Below are 16,708 nucleotides of genomic sequence, written 5' to 3'. Positions count from 1 at the left end.
AAACTTCCTAAAACATGTCTCAGTTGTGTGGAAATAAGACTTTACGGATATATAGTTGCAACTTAAAATGCTAAAGAACAGGCCAAGTGCAGTGGCTCATGCCTGTAATCCCAGCACTTTGGGAGGCTGAGGCATGCGGATCACCTGAGGTCAGGAGTTCGATTCCAGCCTGGCCAACATGGTGAAATCCCATCTCTACTAAAAATACAACAATTAGCTGGGCATGGTGGTGGGCGCCTGTAATCCCAGCTACTCAGGAGGCTGAGGCAGAAGAATCACTTGAACCCGGGAGGCGGAGGTTGCTGTGAGCTGAGATCGTGCCTCTGCACTCCAACCTGGGTGACAGAGCAAGACTCTGTCTCAAAAAAATAATAATAAAAATTAAAAATAAAGAACAAAAACATATTTAAAAAGTACAAAAATTCAATTCATATCCAATCATTGTGACTACGACACAGTAGAATATTAAAGTACTATTTTCAAGATGTATACAAGCTTAATATTCCATTTATTCAAAATATGAATCATCAACATAATTTGCCGCTAATATCTCATTCAGTCCCTTGCTAGGATACATCATCCATTGAGAGCTCACAGATTAGCAGCTGCAGTAACACAGAGCAAAAAAAAAAAAAAAGAAAACCAAGAGGTGAAATAGTTCTGAAATAAAGATTTTAAAGCTAAGAGAAATAACTAAATTACTAAGTCTTTAGCACTAATCTTGAGCTGACTAATTAACATCAGACAAGACAATGTCCTATGCTTTGGTAAATCCAAACTATGTTTAAACAATGTCTGTAATGTAATTTTCAAAATGCTCCTGGCTTTCCAAAGATGAGATTATGATGCAGTAATAGACGCTAAAGCATTTTCCCCCTGCAGAGCATGTTGCAACATTTATCAGTCACACTGAGAATCCAGAAGATGAAGGAAAAGGTCACGTCGTTCGCTGAGAACTTACCGAAGTTGAACTCCCTCACTTTCCGCTTCCCAGCATTGGCGGGTTCCGGGACTGGTGGCTGCGGTAGCTCATTGGCCTTTGGTCTCTTAGACGGTGGAGAATAATCATCATCTTGAAAAAGAAAATGGTCATTACTGGAAGAACCATCTTACAGTTACAGTCACCTCCTGGTCAATTCCCAACATTCAAAAGGTGAGCAGGGCTTTAAAGCTATTTTGAGTATCAATAGTTATTTCTGTATTGTGAGCTTTAGCAGGCTTTTTCCTTGTTACATTTGAAATTTTCTTTGTTTGGGATGTGTTCAAGTGAATACTGCTTTTTCCTCTGTCTTTCTTCATTATTTTTTAGTTTGCTTCATTTGAATTGTCATTATAAATTTCCCCTTCTCAAATAACTTTCAAATTGCCAAGAACTATATTGTTTTAAGACTTTCAAGAAAAAACTTTTAATAAAGACAGCCACCTAAAGTTATAAAAGGGGATAGAGTACAGCTTAGATGGAAAAGATATTTAAGCTTATACAAAATTTAAGCATGCATAAGCAAGGGAAATTGGGTAAATAGTTTTTTTTTGTTTTTGTTTTTGTTTTTGTTTTTGAGACAGAGAATTGTTCTGTTGCCCAGGCTGGAGTTCAGTGATGCAATCTTGGCTCACTGCAACCTCCACCTCCTGGGCTCAAGCGATTCTCATGCCTCAGCCTCCGAAGTAGCTGGGATTACAGGCACCCGCCACCGCGCCCGGCTAATTTTTGTATTTTTTTGATAGAGATGGGGTTTCGCCATGTTGGCCAGGCTGGTCTCAAACTCCTGGCCTCAAGTGATCCACCCACCTCGGCCACCCAGAGTGCTGGGATTACAGGTGTGAGCCACCGCGCCTGGCCTGTTCAAATACTTTTAACAAGTGCAAAATGTATGGGCTTAAAGAAATAGGGCTGCATTATGATGAAACAGATACTGTTGATTCAGTCAGCACAGAGGCTGTGTATAAAGGAGCAGTCAGCTATTCAAGCACAGCGCACAGCACACACGCTGTTGTGAGAGTTCCGTGCTCATTTCCTTGTGGATACACCAGGAACTCACTCTGCTGTGACCCTTCAGTACACCTCATGTTAGGATTAGAGACATCTGGGTCATATCAGCTGCCACTGTCATCTTCTAGTCCCTCAAAGTGTCAGGTAACATGCTATTAATATTGCTGCTCAAACATCATCTATAAAATACTGAAAACATCATTTTAAGAAATTCTTATTTAAAAACAAATGTGGTATGGTGAAGAAAATAATTATTGTGTTAAAGACAGTATCATAGAAAAAAGATCACTCAAGTACAAGACACTATCTTTTTAGATGGGTATAATTGTTATTCTTATTTTACAGCTAAAGAAACAGGCTCAGAGGATGTTATTTGATTGGACTATGTTGTATCTCTGGAGAGCACAGCTGAGATCAGACTGTGTGTGTGTAACTCCACTAGACTACGAGGGTGCTTCTCATAAAGGTAAGAAATGCAAATTTGGCCTAATATACGATGTTGCCCGGGGCAGCACTGGGTCACTTCTATAGACACTTCTGTGTTAATCAAGGGAAATCTTAAGGGAAGGTGAAAATGCTTCTAGAAGGCGACTGGACACCAGCACCCTTGCTTGCTGCCTTTGGGCTCTTCCTCTAAGGCCAACAGTGACCTGAAATTATTGACTGGCTGGCCGTGCTAATCAACTGGAGAAAATGGTTCCGAGGTCACCAACATCAGACAAATTCATTTTAGGACCTATGTATGTGCTTAGAAAGACAGAAGTGCTTTTGTAAAGGATACTATTTCAGAAAAACATAATCATAGTAACAACTAATGACGCTATAAAATGCTGATGTGTTGAATGCTACTTTAGAAAAACATGTTCAAATCTAGGAAAAAATTTGATAGAAAACTATCTATCTATCGGCAGGGTCTCATTCTTTCTATCTATCTATCTATCTATCTATCTATCTATCTATCTATCTATTGGCAGGGTCTCATTCTATCTATCTATCTATCTATCTATCTATCTATCTATCTATCTATCTATCTGTCGGGAGGGTCTCATTCTATCGCCCAGGCTGGAGGGCAGTGGCATGATTATAGCTCACTGCAACCTCGAGCTCCTGGCCTCAAATGATTCTCCTGCTTCAGCCTCCCAAATAGCTGGGACCAACACACCTGGCTATTTTTCTTTTAATTTTTTGTAGGGACAGGGTCTCATTATGTTGCCCAGGCTGGTCTGAAACTCCTGGCCTCAAGTGATCCTTCTGCCTCAGCCTCCCAAAGTGCGGAGATTATAGGCATGAGCCACGGGACCAGGACAGAAAACAATTTTAAAATGACAACCTCCCTGTGAAATAAAACTTGACTGGCACCTGGGTTTGTATGACTGTAAGGATTAAAAATGGTCAAGACACCCTATAAATAGATTAAGGTTCCAACCTAAGTAGAAACAATCTGGAAAACAGAAGTGTGTAAGTTTGGACCTCAATTCTGAAAATATACTTTTTAAAAAACCCGATTTTCCAACTCCCAAACAGATTTTAGAAACCTTAAGAGTATTTTTATGCTGGCTTCCAAAGGTTAAAACAAAATACACTCATTTCACCTATGAATACTGTCAAAGCATTATAAATGCTTAATATTACTATATATTTTTTTACAAACATTAAGCAGTAACTTCTAAAATAAAAGTATTTCCCCTATAGGTTAAGGTCTCCTAAGTATCCTTATAGATCATCATTTAAGCTGACTATTCATTGAGTGACATAAACTGAAAGCTGCTAGAGTAGAATGACATGAGAAAGGAAACACAGCTGTAGATGGAATGGAAGGGACACCTGTGGAGCTCCATCCCATGGATCTCAGTCCAAATCCAAACTTCACAGCTGAGGCCCAGGGGAAGGGAAGACAGGTTTTCCTTACTGAAAAGACTTCACTTTTTCAGTCACACAAACATTTTAGACCACAATAGATTTAATAGCATAAATATATTTTATGAAGGTAACCCAATCGATCATAAACCAAAAAAAAAAAAAGAAAGAGAAAAAGGCAAATCTACTAGAGTGCTTTTTTAATACAACAAAGACTGTAAAATATTGAAAATATCAGGGATATCACATTTTCCTCTTCACTGACAAATAATAAAGTTCAATCTGTTAAATGTGAACATATATAGAGATGAATGTAGTTACTTTATTTTTTAAGACAGGGTCTCCCTCCTTCACCCAGGCTGGAGCACCACTCACTGCAGCCTCGACTTCCCAGGCTCAGGTGATCCTCCCACCTCAGCCTCCCAAATAGCTGGGACTACAGGCCTGCACCACCACGCCCAGCTAATTTTTTTTTTTTTAACTTTTGTAGAGATAGGGGTCCCCCTATGTTGCCCAGGTTGGTCTTGAACTCCTGGCCTCAAGTGATCCTCCTGCCTTGGCCTCCTAAAGTGCTGGGATTATAGGTGTGAGCCACCGCACCCAGCTGGATGTAGTTATTGATAAAATATCACACCATATATTCTATTTTAAAAACCCTGTTTCATAAACTTATTAATTAATCTTTGGGTGTTTTAAGTCATATGGAACATGGCATTCAGGCATCAGAACAGCTATAAACTTCACCACATCCTCAATTTTTTCTGCAATTAACTCTTTGTTGCAATTAATTGGTTTTGAGAAAGTAAGAAAAAAAATGGGTTTCTCGACCTAAAATCCTTTCCACAAAGGATCAAAATTACTTTTTACTCTGAAGCATAAAACATCAACTAAAGCTCTAGGGCCTGCCCTCACATACTGGGCATTGCTCTTCCAATTATCTGCCGTTTCCAAAGTATAAACAACCATTTTTGTTTAACAAGACACACGTTTCAGCATGCTTCAAATTCAAGCCCAAACTCTGTTTCCATAATCAAAATGTAAAGCTTTTAAAATACATTTTAAGATATTTTATTTTATTTTTTGAGATGGAGTCTTGCTCTGTCACCCAGGCTGGGAGTGCAGTGGGCAGTGGCACGATCTTGGCTCACTGCAATCTCCACTTCCTGGGTTCAAGCAATTCTCCTGCCTCAGCCTCCAGAGTAGCTGGGATTACAGGCGCCCACCACCACGCCCAGCTAATTTTTATATTTTTAGTAGAGATGGAATTTCACCATGTTGGTCAGGCTGGTCTCAAACTCCTGACCTCAGGTGATCCACCCACCTCGGTCTTCCAAAGTGCTGGGATTACACCACCACACCTGGCCCATTTTAAGATATTTTAATATGCAAAAGGTGCTATTCATGAATTTACAATAGTTATGCTACCCACACTAACAAAAGCACTCCGCCAATACCTTCAAGTTGGCAACACCGTCCCTAACTCAAAATTTGTGTTTAGAAAACACCAACTTCCTTTTTGCAACATATTAACGAATACACCTAAAGATAATACAGGCTTCAGAGCTAAAGCTGTTTATCACTGCATTCTGGCCGGTGAATCAATAAATAGACTATGTTACAATATGTTCTGATACTCTTAGCTTCAACATAATCAGACTGGGAATGTGTTATCATACAATCTGACATCTATTCAAAGTTAAAAAAACAATCAACACCAGGTAATATATCTATTTCAAAACTGGAGCCATTAATTACCCTATACATTTCAAATAAATGGATTCATTCTTTCACCCATGGATACCACTTATAGCTCCTCTAAAACTCTTTACATAAACAATTGGGTATTTATTAAATGACTATTTGGCAGCAATAAAAAAAATTTAAAACAAAGTGTTCAAGTGCTAACCTAAGCAATTATGTCCATTTTAAAAGTGCTGCAGAGACATTTAAGAAAATACAAGAATTAAACAATAAACAGCAAAGCCTGGTGGCTTTGTCTTCAAAATCTCCCCAGAATCAACAACTTCTTATCTCCCCTGCCACCAACCTGCTCTAAAGCACTCTTCTCTGTGCCCTAGGTAGTTCCAAGAGGCTCCCAAGCTAGTTTTCTGTCAAAAAACTATTGACTGCTCTAGGTCTTCTCTTTTTTTTTTTTTCCCCCTTTTCTCAACATAGTCACCACGTTTCCTAGAAGTGAAGGACAAAAAGTGTCACTCTTATTTGCAAAACACTCCCGAGGATTTGCCACTGAATTATTCACTACTAAATTCTTAGCACCGTGGCCAGGCGCGGTGGTTCATGCCTGTAATCCTAGCACTTTGGGAGGCCGAGGCGGGTGGATCACCTGAGGTAAGGAGTTCAAGACCAGCCTGGCCAACATGGTGAAACCCCTGTCTGTACTAAAAGTAAAATATTGGCTGGACATGGTGGCGTGTGCCTGTAGTTCCAGCTACTCCAGAGGCTGAGGCAGGAGAATCACTTGAACCCAGGAGGCGGAGGCTGCGGAGAACCGAGATCAGGTCACTGTACTCCAGCCTGGGCAACAGAGCAAGACTCCGTCTTAAAAAAAAAAAAAAAAAAAAGAGGCCGGGAGCGGTGGCTTATGCCTGTAATCCCAGCTCTTTGGGAGGGTGAGGTGGGCGGATCACGAGGTCAGGAGTTCAAGATCACCCTGGCCAAAATGGTGAAACCCCGTCTCTACTAAAAATACAAAAAAAATTAGCCAGGCATGGTGGCGGGCGCCTATAATCCCAGCTACTCGGAGGAAGGCTGAGGCAGAGAACTGCTTAAACCTGGGAGGCAGGGGATGCAGTGAGCCGAGATTGCGCCACTGCACTCCAGCCTGGGCGACAGAGCGAAACTCCGTCTCAAAAAAAAAAAAAAAAAACTCTTAGCACCTGGTACATACAATGTGCTCAGTATTTGTGGAGGGATTAAATGAACATATGAATAGTTTAGTCCCTAATTATATGCTGCAGTCAAGTATCTGGCACTATCTTAAACATAAATTCCACAAGAAAGGGATGGTAGGTAGTCCAACTGCCCATCATAAACCCTACTAAAATACTGAAACTCTAAAAACGTATTATTCAAATCTTAGTACATAATTCCTCTGAGACTCCTTTTTTTACATATATAATTGTGTATTCATTAAGTGTCTGATTGGCAGCTATAAAAATAAAAAACACAGAAGTTTTCCAACGCTAACCTCCTCAATTACAGAGATCCTAAAAAACCTACAGTACCAGCTGCAGTAAGTGTGCCACGTGTGGTCATGTGAGTCAATTATATTTGAAATTATTTACATATACCTTTCAAAATATGAGAAATAAAAAAGCCAGAGTTTGACTTAGGAAGACGTAAAATTCATCACAAAATGAATTTACTTAAAATCAATTTAAGGGAAAAAAATCAGGTTAAGTAATGAACAGAGAGTTAGGCCACAGCAGAAGGAACACAGGTAACAGGTAAGTGACTCAGGTTTGGGAAGCTAGGCCCTAAGAGAGAACTGCGCAAGAAAGAAACCTCCTTTACACGGTTCTTAGCACTCCCATGACAGCTAGACCTGAAACAAGTCTGATAAGGTTTTCTCTGCACACATTAGAGATAACATACCTGACGGCAATTCACCTTAACCCAGAAATGTAGTCACGGTGTTTACGAAAACTGAGGCATGCGGTCCTATTAGTCCAAGGCCGATTTCCCAAACCTAAGTCACGTATGTTTTAAATGTTTACCACCGACTCCAAGTACAAATAAAACGCCACAAATGGAAGTGCACAGCTCAGAGCGCACCGGCAGTGGGTAAGTAATGACCCTGTATCCACAAACACGTCCGCGTCGGTGTCAAATTAGCCACTTCAGAACTCCACATAATTGCAAATGAAGATATCGAGGTGAAAACACTGTGAAAAATCGGACAGACTTATTTGATAACAAAGTTCTGTTTTTTTTTCTACCAATGATTTGGGAAATGTGAAAAGATATAAAAGGAGAAAATTAAGTCGTCTCCAAGCAAGCAGGAATATCTCAGTTTATTTTTGTCCGTCTTCCTACCAAGCATGAGTATTTTCCAAAACAAAACTAAGATTATCCTCTAGATGCACTTTTGCTTTTCAAGTTGCCTTGTTCTCAAGGCAGGATTTTTTTTTTTTCCACTGAACATTTTATATTAGAGATCTTTTTTCAGATTATTGGAAAACATTATCAGGATTTCAATGGCTATATATTTTTCTGTTATGAAGATATACCAAAATTTTATTTCCTAACTACGGGTATCTAAATAGCTCCTACCATTTGGAAGTAATCTTTCCAGAAAGAATATATGATACACATTATTAACCAGAGGTGTGCATGTAAGTTCTCACTTGACCTTCCTTGTTAATATTGAGACAGTTTTTTATCTTCTTAAAAAAATGAGGAATTTAATTGTTGATGTAATTTCTATATAATATACATATTTTTTATATATAATACATAAAATGTGTGTGTGTATATGCACATATGACATGGAAAATGCTACCTTTTAAAAGGATTACTTTACTCAGACCTGGTATTTCACTGGTCTTCTGAAAAGAAAGAGGTCTACTAGCAAAATTCTACTACTTAATCACAAATGTGAACATTAAATCAGGCTTATGGCACAATGTCTTAGTTTAAAAGAAATGAATGGCCAGGTGCGGTGGCTCATGCCTGTAATCCCAGCACTTTGGGAAGCCGAGGTGGGCAGATCACCTGAGGTCAGGAGTTCGAGACCAGCCTGACCAAGATGGAGAAACCCTGTCTCTATTAAAAATACAAAATTAGCCGAGCATGGCGGCGCATGCCTGTAATCCCAGCTACTCAGGAGGCTGAGGCAGGAGAATCGCTTGAACCTGCGAGGCGGAGGTTGCGGTGAGCCGAGATAGCGCCAATGCACTCCAGCCTAGGCAACAAGAGTGAAACTCCATCTCAAAAACAAATAAATAAATAAATAAACAAATAAATGAAAAGAAAAGAGATTTATTACTCCATCCAAAACAGTTAAAGTTCAAAAGGCTGACATAAGCTTCAGGTTCATGAGCCATTTATTTCTGGATTTTCGTAACCTTTCTTTAAAAGTCTTATACTATAAAAGCAAGTATTTACATTCTAAACCATTTTAATACAGCCTCTACAGGAGAATGGCGTGAACCAGGAAGGCAGAGCTTGCAGTGAGCCGAGATCGCACCACTGCACTCCAGCCTGGGCGACAGAGCCAGACTCTGTCTCAAAAAAAAAAAAAAAAAAATACAGCTTCTATCTGCTTTAAGATTTGACAAATCAAAATGGTTATTAGTCCTACCCTAAAAGCTTTATTTTTATAATTTTAATAACCTCCTATTAATATCTCCATAGAAAGGGCACAGCTGAGTAGTTGTAATATTTGTATGTTCTTAAGTTTTTTTCCTGTTAATGAGGTTTCTCACTAAAAACGAATTAAATTTCAACCATTTAATGCTGGACTGTAAACAATGCAAAATGTTTTAGATTAGAAAAATTATATTTATGAAAAAAGAAATCTGTATATTAAGTTAACACATGAAGTATGAAAAGATTTCTTGTATTAAGTGGAAGCTACTAATTGACTTATATTTTAGAAGCAATGAAGACAGACACGTTGAGTAGTTTGGAGTAGTCAAACACTAGAAATAACCAAGTGACATCAGTAGGTGACAGGTTATTAAGAGAGAAAGAGAGACAGACAGCAAACCAAGAAAGGTTACGCAGCAGCTAGAAAAAAAAACTAATAAAGTACCAAGATGTGCAGTTATGGGAGGGGGAGGCCTATGGAATATGTAATATTTTAAAATGTGCATTGTAATGTATGCTGAAAGCATCTGTGTATTTTCGCATCAAGATATGTACTGCAATTATTTCTCTAAGTAGACACAATAAGCTGGCATACATCCCTCAGTATTGGGACTTGGGAGCAGAGTGAGGGTGAAGAAAACTTTCCACTGTACAATTTACTGTACCATTTTCACATTTTACCACAAGAAAGAAGTACTTTCAGGGGAAGAAACTTACACAAGTATTGTGACACATTAATTTTAATTTTAATTTTTTTTTTGAGATGGAGTTTCACTCTGTCGCCCAGGCTGTAGTGCAATGGCGTGAACTCAGCACACTACAACCTCTGCCTCCAGGGTTCAAGCGATTCTCCTGCCTCAGCCTCCCAAGTGGCTGGGATTACAGGCATGCACCACCACACCCAGCTAGTTTTGTATTTTTAGTAGAGATGGGCGTTTCACCATGCTGGTCAGGCTGGTCTTGAGCTCCCGACCTCAGGTGATCTGCCTACCTTGGCCTCCCAAAGTGCTGGGATTACAGGTGTGAGCCACCGTGCCCAGCTGTGAGACATTAATTTAAAAGGAAAAACGCAATGCTCATTTAATAACTATTAATATGAAGTGATAGTTAATAATTCTATTAGCTGAATTTTCAAATAATTCAGGATAAACTGGCTCAGCTGAGTTCAAGCTTATCTTTGGAGAAAAAAACAGGTTTGAAGCAATCTTAGCTATAGAGAGTATTGTAGAATATATTTGTAGCTATTGCTTCAAAACAGTTTTGAAAGATAAATTGTATGTCAGCCTCTAAGTAGTATTTGCGGGTCGTTGAAGGGGGCAGGGACTTGCTTTAAAAATTACTCACTAAACTATCAACACTTTCTCCTCCACTTTACTTAATTAGAAATTAGGGATTCCAGCTCCAAATAAGTCTTCTTCTATCACAACCCAATAGATTATAGAATCTGTTTTTGTGTGTATCAAGTCTGGTCATAATTTTCTTTTTCTCTTTTCAACTCCCACTGATAGCAAGGATAGCTTGGGCCACCCGTGGGCCAATGCTAATTCTCACGGCCTCATTCTGTCATCTAAAACTCCCAAAGCACTGGGGAGTGGGCTGCTTTGGCCACACAGACACATGTATTCGTCCCACAAGTCTCCTTTAAAAATGAATGAAATGCATATTTAGCAATGTGAATGTGACAAGTATTTTTATGACCAGAAGTAAACTTTGGAATCAAGGCTTTTAGATAACTAACCTTCAATAGTCACCTCAACTTCAGGGTCCTCACTTGTTTCTGAAGGGACATGTTGAGTAGAATCTTGAAAAAAATAAAATTCTAAAATGACATTCATTATTAAGCATGTTTCCATATGTTCCAACATTTTACTGATTTGATACTCCAAAAGCAGCCTACTATAAAAATCCACTGGCATTTTCATTCATTTCATATTAATGAAATTAAAATTTGACCCTTGTCATTATAAATAGGGATAAAAGAAAACAAAAATTAGAAAAACTCTGGAAAAATTTAGATGATAACATGTTACCTGCAGAAATTGACTCAAAAAAATCCCATAGTCTTGGAGGAATGAGGATATGACAAAGTCACAATGAATTTCCTGCCACAGCTAGAAGATGCTCGGATAGAAACAAATGCTTTCTACTTTGGTTAGAATTTCTTCTCTCCTTTCAGAAATGTGAGGAGTGGTTTCTACTGTTCAATAAAACCACAACCCAGGCTTTACAATGGAGACTTTCCTATCAAGAGACTGAGTGTCACAAGTGCACACAAGACTATATCCTCTGGCTTTGTATGCAACATATTTCAAAAATTACAAAGTTCATTCATATTTGTTCCTACACAAGACAAATGTACATCAGAGTGTTAGTGCTAGAAGCTTATAGAGTATTTTCATTAGTTCTCTTTCATTGTGCAAAGGTTGAGAGATTAATTGATTTGCCAAAGATTATGTTTACTTGTTAGTAAAGGAATAAAGGCCAGAACCCAGATTCGATTCAACTTTGTTAACACTGGAATATGACAGTAAAAATGTCCTAAAAACGCAGTCTTCAAGGTGCAGTACCTGCCGGCGGGGCTGCAAGGCGGTGAGCCATCGGTACTGCCCAATGAGCCCTCGTACTGCACATGATCTATTACCTAGGTCTTGTTGTTCTAAATCCCGCCTATTCAAAGCTGAAAACTCTGTCACTCAGAAGATACCCACCTCCACACAGTAAAGCATACAACATTCACCCACACAATCTTCTATAAAAAGGGCTGACAGGGAAATGTAACCAACGGTTTACAATGAGCATATCAGTATTTTTGAGAGAAATGTATTCCAGGGAGAAACCCTAATTCTATAATTGAATTTGGAGAAACCAGCCTATACTGGGGAACTTTTAAGATTGCCTTTCCCTCAAAGAAGGTAAAAGATCAAACAAATGTTTTTTTTTAATTAAAATAAAAATGTAAATACAATGGAATATAAGCAGTTACACAACAGACTCCTCTTTTCATTCTAGAAAAATAAGGGATAACATGACCAATTTATGAGAGAAATAATTCTAAAACAAGATTCAGTTACCTTACCAGTCATTTTCCTTGGGAGAAATCTACAAAAATTTGTGTGGAACCGTTTAAACACCTTGGAAATAAGAAGCCACCCTACATGATAAGTTGAACTCAGGATTCTAAACAAAAAGAACTGTACCTCAGTCAGGCGTTCAATTCTAAAACCAAAGCTGTAGAGCTGGTAAACTGACAAAGTCATTTATGGAGTAGTTGTGAGTACAAAATAAAGGGAGAAACTCTCTCCTGTATAAATTTTATGTAGACTAAATTCCTACCCTACTAAGAGACTAGAAGTATTAAAAAATACATTTGAAAATAAAATATGAATGGAGCTAGTAATTTTAATTCTGAAACACTGAAGCTATTCTTCCTTAAAAGATATTTAATATGGCACAAGAAAACCAGGACAAAAAAAAAAGTAGCATTTTGCATCATGTAAGAGCTTTACTTACCACTTAGTTTCATTCCCATAGGCTTTATTAATCAGTATGGTCAAAGAAGTATATTACATCTTAGAATTTTTAAAAAAATAATAACCTGTTGGCTAGGAAGGCATACCAAGGGAATCACCTTTTATTTCCAAATAAGGTGTTTTAAGGATAATAGAATCTATAAAATAGAATAAACATACAACAAATAGTGGAAAATATGCAATCTCTTTTTCTCCTAACCTTCTGCTGGTACTTCCATTTCTGTGCCTTCATTGCCCTCTGAAGAATGGTGGCTTCCTAAAAAGAAAATAAACAACATATAATAAACCAATAAAAACTGACATTGAAAGATGAAAGAGAATCTAGGTAACAATGCAAACAATCTAAGACATAATAAACATATGCAAAATGATTGTCTAACTCTTTAGCAGTTAAGTCGAACAATGTTTTCTAATTCAGAAAAGAATACAACGCTTCTATTTGGAAGCTAAAAAAATTATTTGAAAACACAAATACAGAGTAGACCTAAGTAGGTTTGGGGATTTAATATTAGTTACTATAACTACATGATAAAATTACTAGATATTGGAATCTGAGGAAGCAGAATTATGCTTCAAGTACCATGCTCATCTGTCAAAGACACACATACACAAACAGATCAGAGTAAATGCTTGCTGTGATCAGACACTTAATTAACTCCCTATAAATAAGTTCAGGGTTTGCTGTGGAATGTTTCATGCTTTCCATTTTCACTATGGTGAAAGCCATGGAAACTCAATCCCCATAATTTCATCAAAGTTGTACTTAAAGGAAACTCGTAAGTTAAAATTTAAGATACTACCTTTAGTCTCAAAAGCATTTTAAGTCAGGTAATATAATCTGCCTGCTTCTAAAAACTGGAACATAAAGCAATGATCAGTTAGGCAGTCACAAGGTGAACAGGCTCATCCTACTAGAGCAGAAGTTTTACTCACAAAAAGGAAAGGAAGAATCTAAGACATCAGAGAGCCACTTAGGATTAAGAACGCAAGCTGCCCCCTAATTTGTATCCTCTGTCCTTAAAGATCTGAGCTACTAACATGGAAAAGATTGAAAAACACTGCCTTTAAGTACCAAAAAAAAACATATTACCTATTAGTAAGAATACATCGCTTGAGGGGAAAGGAAGCAGATGTTCATCTCTTTTGTCTTATCTATTGAGAACTAAATTCAGAAGCTATACTAAAAGTAAGATATGTTATAAATGTATTTTATCTTGATTTTTAAAAAGCAATGCTTACGGTCTGAAAAACTGTCATTTGGTAGCTAATATCCTTGAATTAAAAGTCCCATACTGAGGTCACATCTTTTTGGTTCTCAGTATCTAGCTTTAGCATGTCACAATTATCTGGGGATTCTTTTCCACTTACTTTATATTGTGAAAACTCACCTGAACTCAAACTCTAGGTAAATCTACAAACCTATACCTATGAGTCACTCTTTAATTCATTTTTAAAATATGCTTTCTCTACACACTTCCTTTCTCTTTTTTTAATCTTAATATTTGAATTTATGGAGCATTAAGTTATTTGACTGTAAAAGTCAAAGAAAAAAGAGATGTGAGGTCAAAGGAATGAGAGTGAAATGATGAGGCCAGTAGGTAAAAAGTAAAATTTCAGCAAAGAATAACAGTTAAGATGATTGTTCGTGTAAGCAATAATTCTGTATGTCTTTTAAAATCTGAAATAAACAATTACATTTACATTATATGCTAAGCCTAAAGAAAATACATCTTATGCACTCAAAGCCAGAATAGATAGAAGTAAATGCCATTACTAATAGCCTATGAGTATCAAGTTTGGGAACACTGTAAAAAATTGCCAAAAAGGCAATCAATTCGAAACTTACAGATTAACAAGTGCTATTTCAGAATTCTTCTAAATACTAAGTATCAACCTGACCTTATCAATATTTGCATCACTAACCAATAAAACAGTAACCTGGCTTCTGACTGTTCTGAGATAAGGTATAAATGTGTACTTTACCTTCAATAGGAAAGTGTGTCATGTACCCATTTCGAGATTCATTACTAGATTCACAAAAGGGAAAATTGATTTTTGAAAAATTGTTGCTTGTGAAGTTCATTTATATGTTAAAAAAAGGCCAATACATTTTTTTCCTTTTCCATTTAGAAAAGTAATACTGTACTTATAAATATTAAAACACAGTCTGTGCAATATAAGGAAACATTAAACACAAGCAGTATGTGGGAGAATGGAAGTGAAAAGATTATACCTTGCAAAGGCTTCGATAGGGGCTGTTTTTCATCAACATCATCAGTTTCAGAAGGGCCTGCTTTGGGATACAAAGATAATACTTCAAAAGTAATCCCCCCCAAAAAAAAATGTGGGGTGACTTTAGTCAACAAATTTGGGTGAGATACATGGAATGGCCTTTTTATAAATAAAAAGAAAAAAATTAAAAAAAAAAAAGACTGACAAGATGAGCAATGTCAATTTATGGTCTTGGTGAATGGAAAAATGTAATCAGGTGAATTCATATGTAAACAGTCAAAAGAAATTTTGAAGATGACTGGACATATGGATTGAATGGGAATGGTATGTCTAAAATGGAAGATGTGGGTTTTTTAAAACAGTACAATGTTCATAACAGTAAACTGTAACTTTTACTTCATACAGATTACAAATGCAGGTTTATCTCACAGGTTTATTTGTTTCTTCTTTGGCAAATATTTGCTTACTCTTTTGTCATACTGAAGAAAAATGCAGAACCAAATGTTATATACCTTCCTTAGAATCTCTAAAATAACGTAAACCATCTCCTTGAATCTCTACTGAAATAGAAATGTGACAAACTAACAGCTATTAATTCATTCTCCCTTTCTTCCAGCACAGCGGGCACTTTTTCTAATAAGGTTCTTTCCAAAACACAGAAAGTACTCTGAGTTAAATTCAACTTCACAAACTGCTATATTTTGACAACACATTTACATGTTATCATCAAACTTTTTAATGATTAAAATAATAATAGTTTTAAAATAGAAAACAAAACATTGTGTTTTCAATGGCTATTTAATATAAAACACATTTTGGCATTAATATGACCACAGTTCAGTTAACTATCTCTGAAGAGAATTGGGAAAACATCCGAAGTTGTTTGAAAGGCTTCATTCTCTAAAGCCTAAGAAATTTCACAAAGATGCACCACACTACACATTACAGGCAAAGGACACATCAGAGAAAAAAATCAATTGCATGAGAAATAAAGAAATAGTTTCTATTTGGAATCTCAAAGAAGAGCAAGTCTTGGAATGTAGACTCCTAAATTCAAATGCTAGATCCACTGCTTCCTAGTCTTCTGACTCTGAGTAAAATATACAGAGCTCAAGAAAAGGAAGATGTGCTATTTACAGGATTTAAAAATGCAACCTTAGTGAAGGCTACTAATTGACCTCTAAGTACTGCTTTAGTTGCTCTTCACAAGTTTAACTATGTGGCATTCTCAATATTCTGGTCTAAATATTTTTAATGAGGCCCTCATTAAGTCAATTACAAGCATGTTTCCTAGGATTCCCACTGTGTATGTTTTCTATTAATAATTTAATTTCAGTATGTTCAGAGAATTTATTAAGACTGTGAACAAGTATACAGTCAATTTTTATAAATGATTCATGCTTTGTAAATAAACTTATTTCTTGGGTACACAGTTTTCTATAGTTAGCTTACATATATTAACTGTAGTGAAAATATTCTATTTAGCATATAAATGTTAAAAGAGTATTCATCAGCTAGACGTATATCATTGGTTAAAATCTCCCACATGACTGTACATATCTATAGAGACTTATAATTTGTAAATAATTTTTACTTTTACTGTGAGGATACATAGTTAGGCACATACAAACTAATGGTTGTTATATCAACTTAGTGACCAATTCCTTTAAATACGACATAGTCTTATTCTATCCTGCTACTACTGTTTTTGGCTTCCAATATTGCTAAACTATATTTTTTTTAGTTGGTATTTACTCAAAATACCTTC

General features: G+C 36.9%; 1 protein-coding gene and 1 long non-coding RNA gene across 7 annotated transcripts in view; one reads left to right on the top strand and one right to left on the bottom strand.

Annotated features, from left to right (window-relative positions):
- Positions 1–16,708, bottom strand: part of GTF2I (general transcription factor IIi) — a 102,975-nt gene that overhangs the window by 30,835 nt on the left and 55,432 nt on the right. The window contains exons 10-13 of one of the 6 annotated variants that reach the window (NM_032999.4): positions 14,942–15,001; positions 12,908–12,964; positions 10,917–10,979; positions 962–1,072 (exon numbers count right to left, since the gene is read on the bottom strand). In NM_032999.4, the coding sequence (NP_127492.1) occupies positions 962–1,072; positions 10,917–10,979; positions 12,908–12,964; positions 14,942–15,001 (291 nt within the window). Of the gene's footprint in view, positions 1–961; positions 1,073–10,916; positions 10,980–12,791; positions 12,965–14,941; positions 15,002–16,708 lie in introns of those variants that run through there. The other 5 variants (NM_033001.4, NM_001163636.3, NM_033000.4 and 2 more) reach the window with 5 other exon arrangements.
- Positions 940–16,708, top strand: part of GTF2I-AS1 (GTF2I antisense RNA 1) — a 39,982-nt gene continuing 24,213 nt past the window's right edge. The window contains exons 1-2 of the long non-coding RNA NR_110044.1: positions 940–1,153; positions 2,336–2,456. This is a non-coding gene — a long non-coding RNA (GTF2I antisense RNA 1). The remainder of the gene's footprint in view (positions 1,154–2,335; positions 2,457–16,708) is intronic.

The sequence above is a fragment of the Homo sapiens genome, chromosome 7 (genome assembly GCF_000001405.40).
Source record: "Homo sapiens chromosome 7, GRCh38.p14 Primary Assembly".
Classification (NCBI taxonomy): Eukaryota; Metazoa; Chordata; class Mammalia; order Primates; family Hominidae; genus Homo; species Homo sapiens.
The sequence above is the reverse complement of the archived record's forward strand: the minus strand, read 5'-3'. Positions and strand labels throughout refer to the sequence as shown.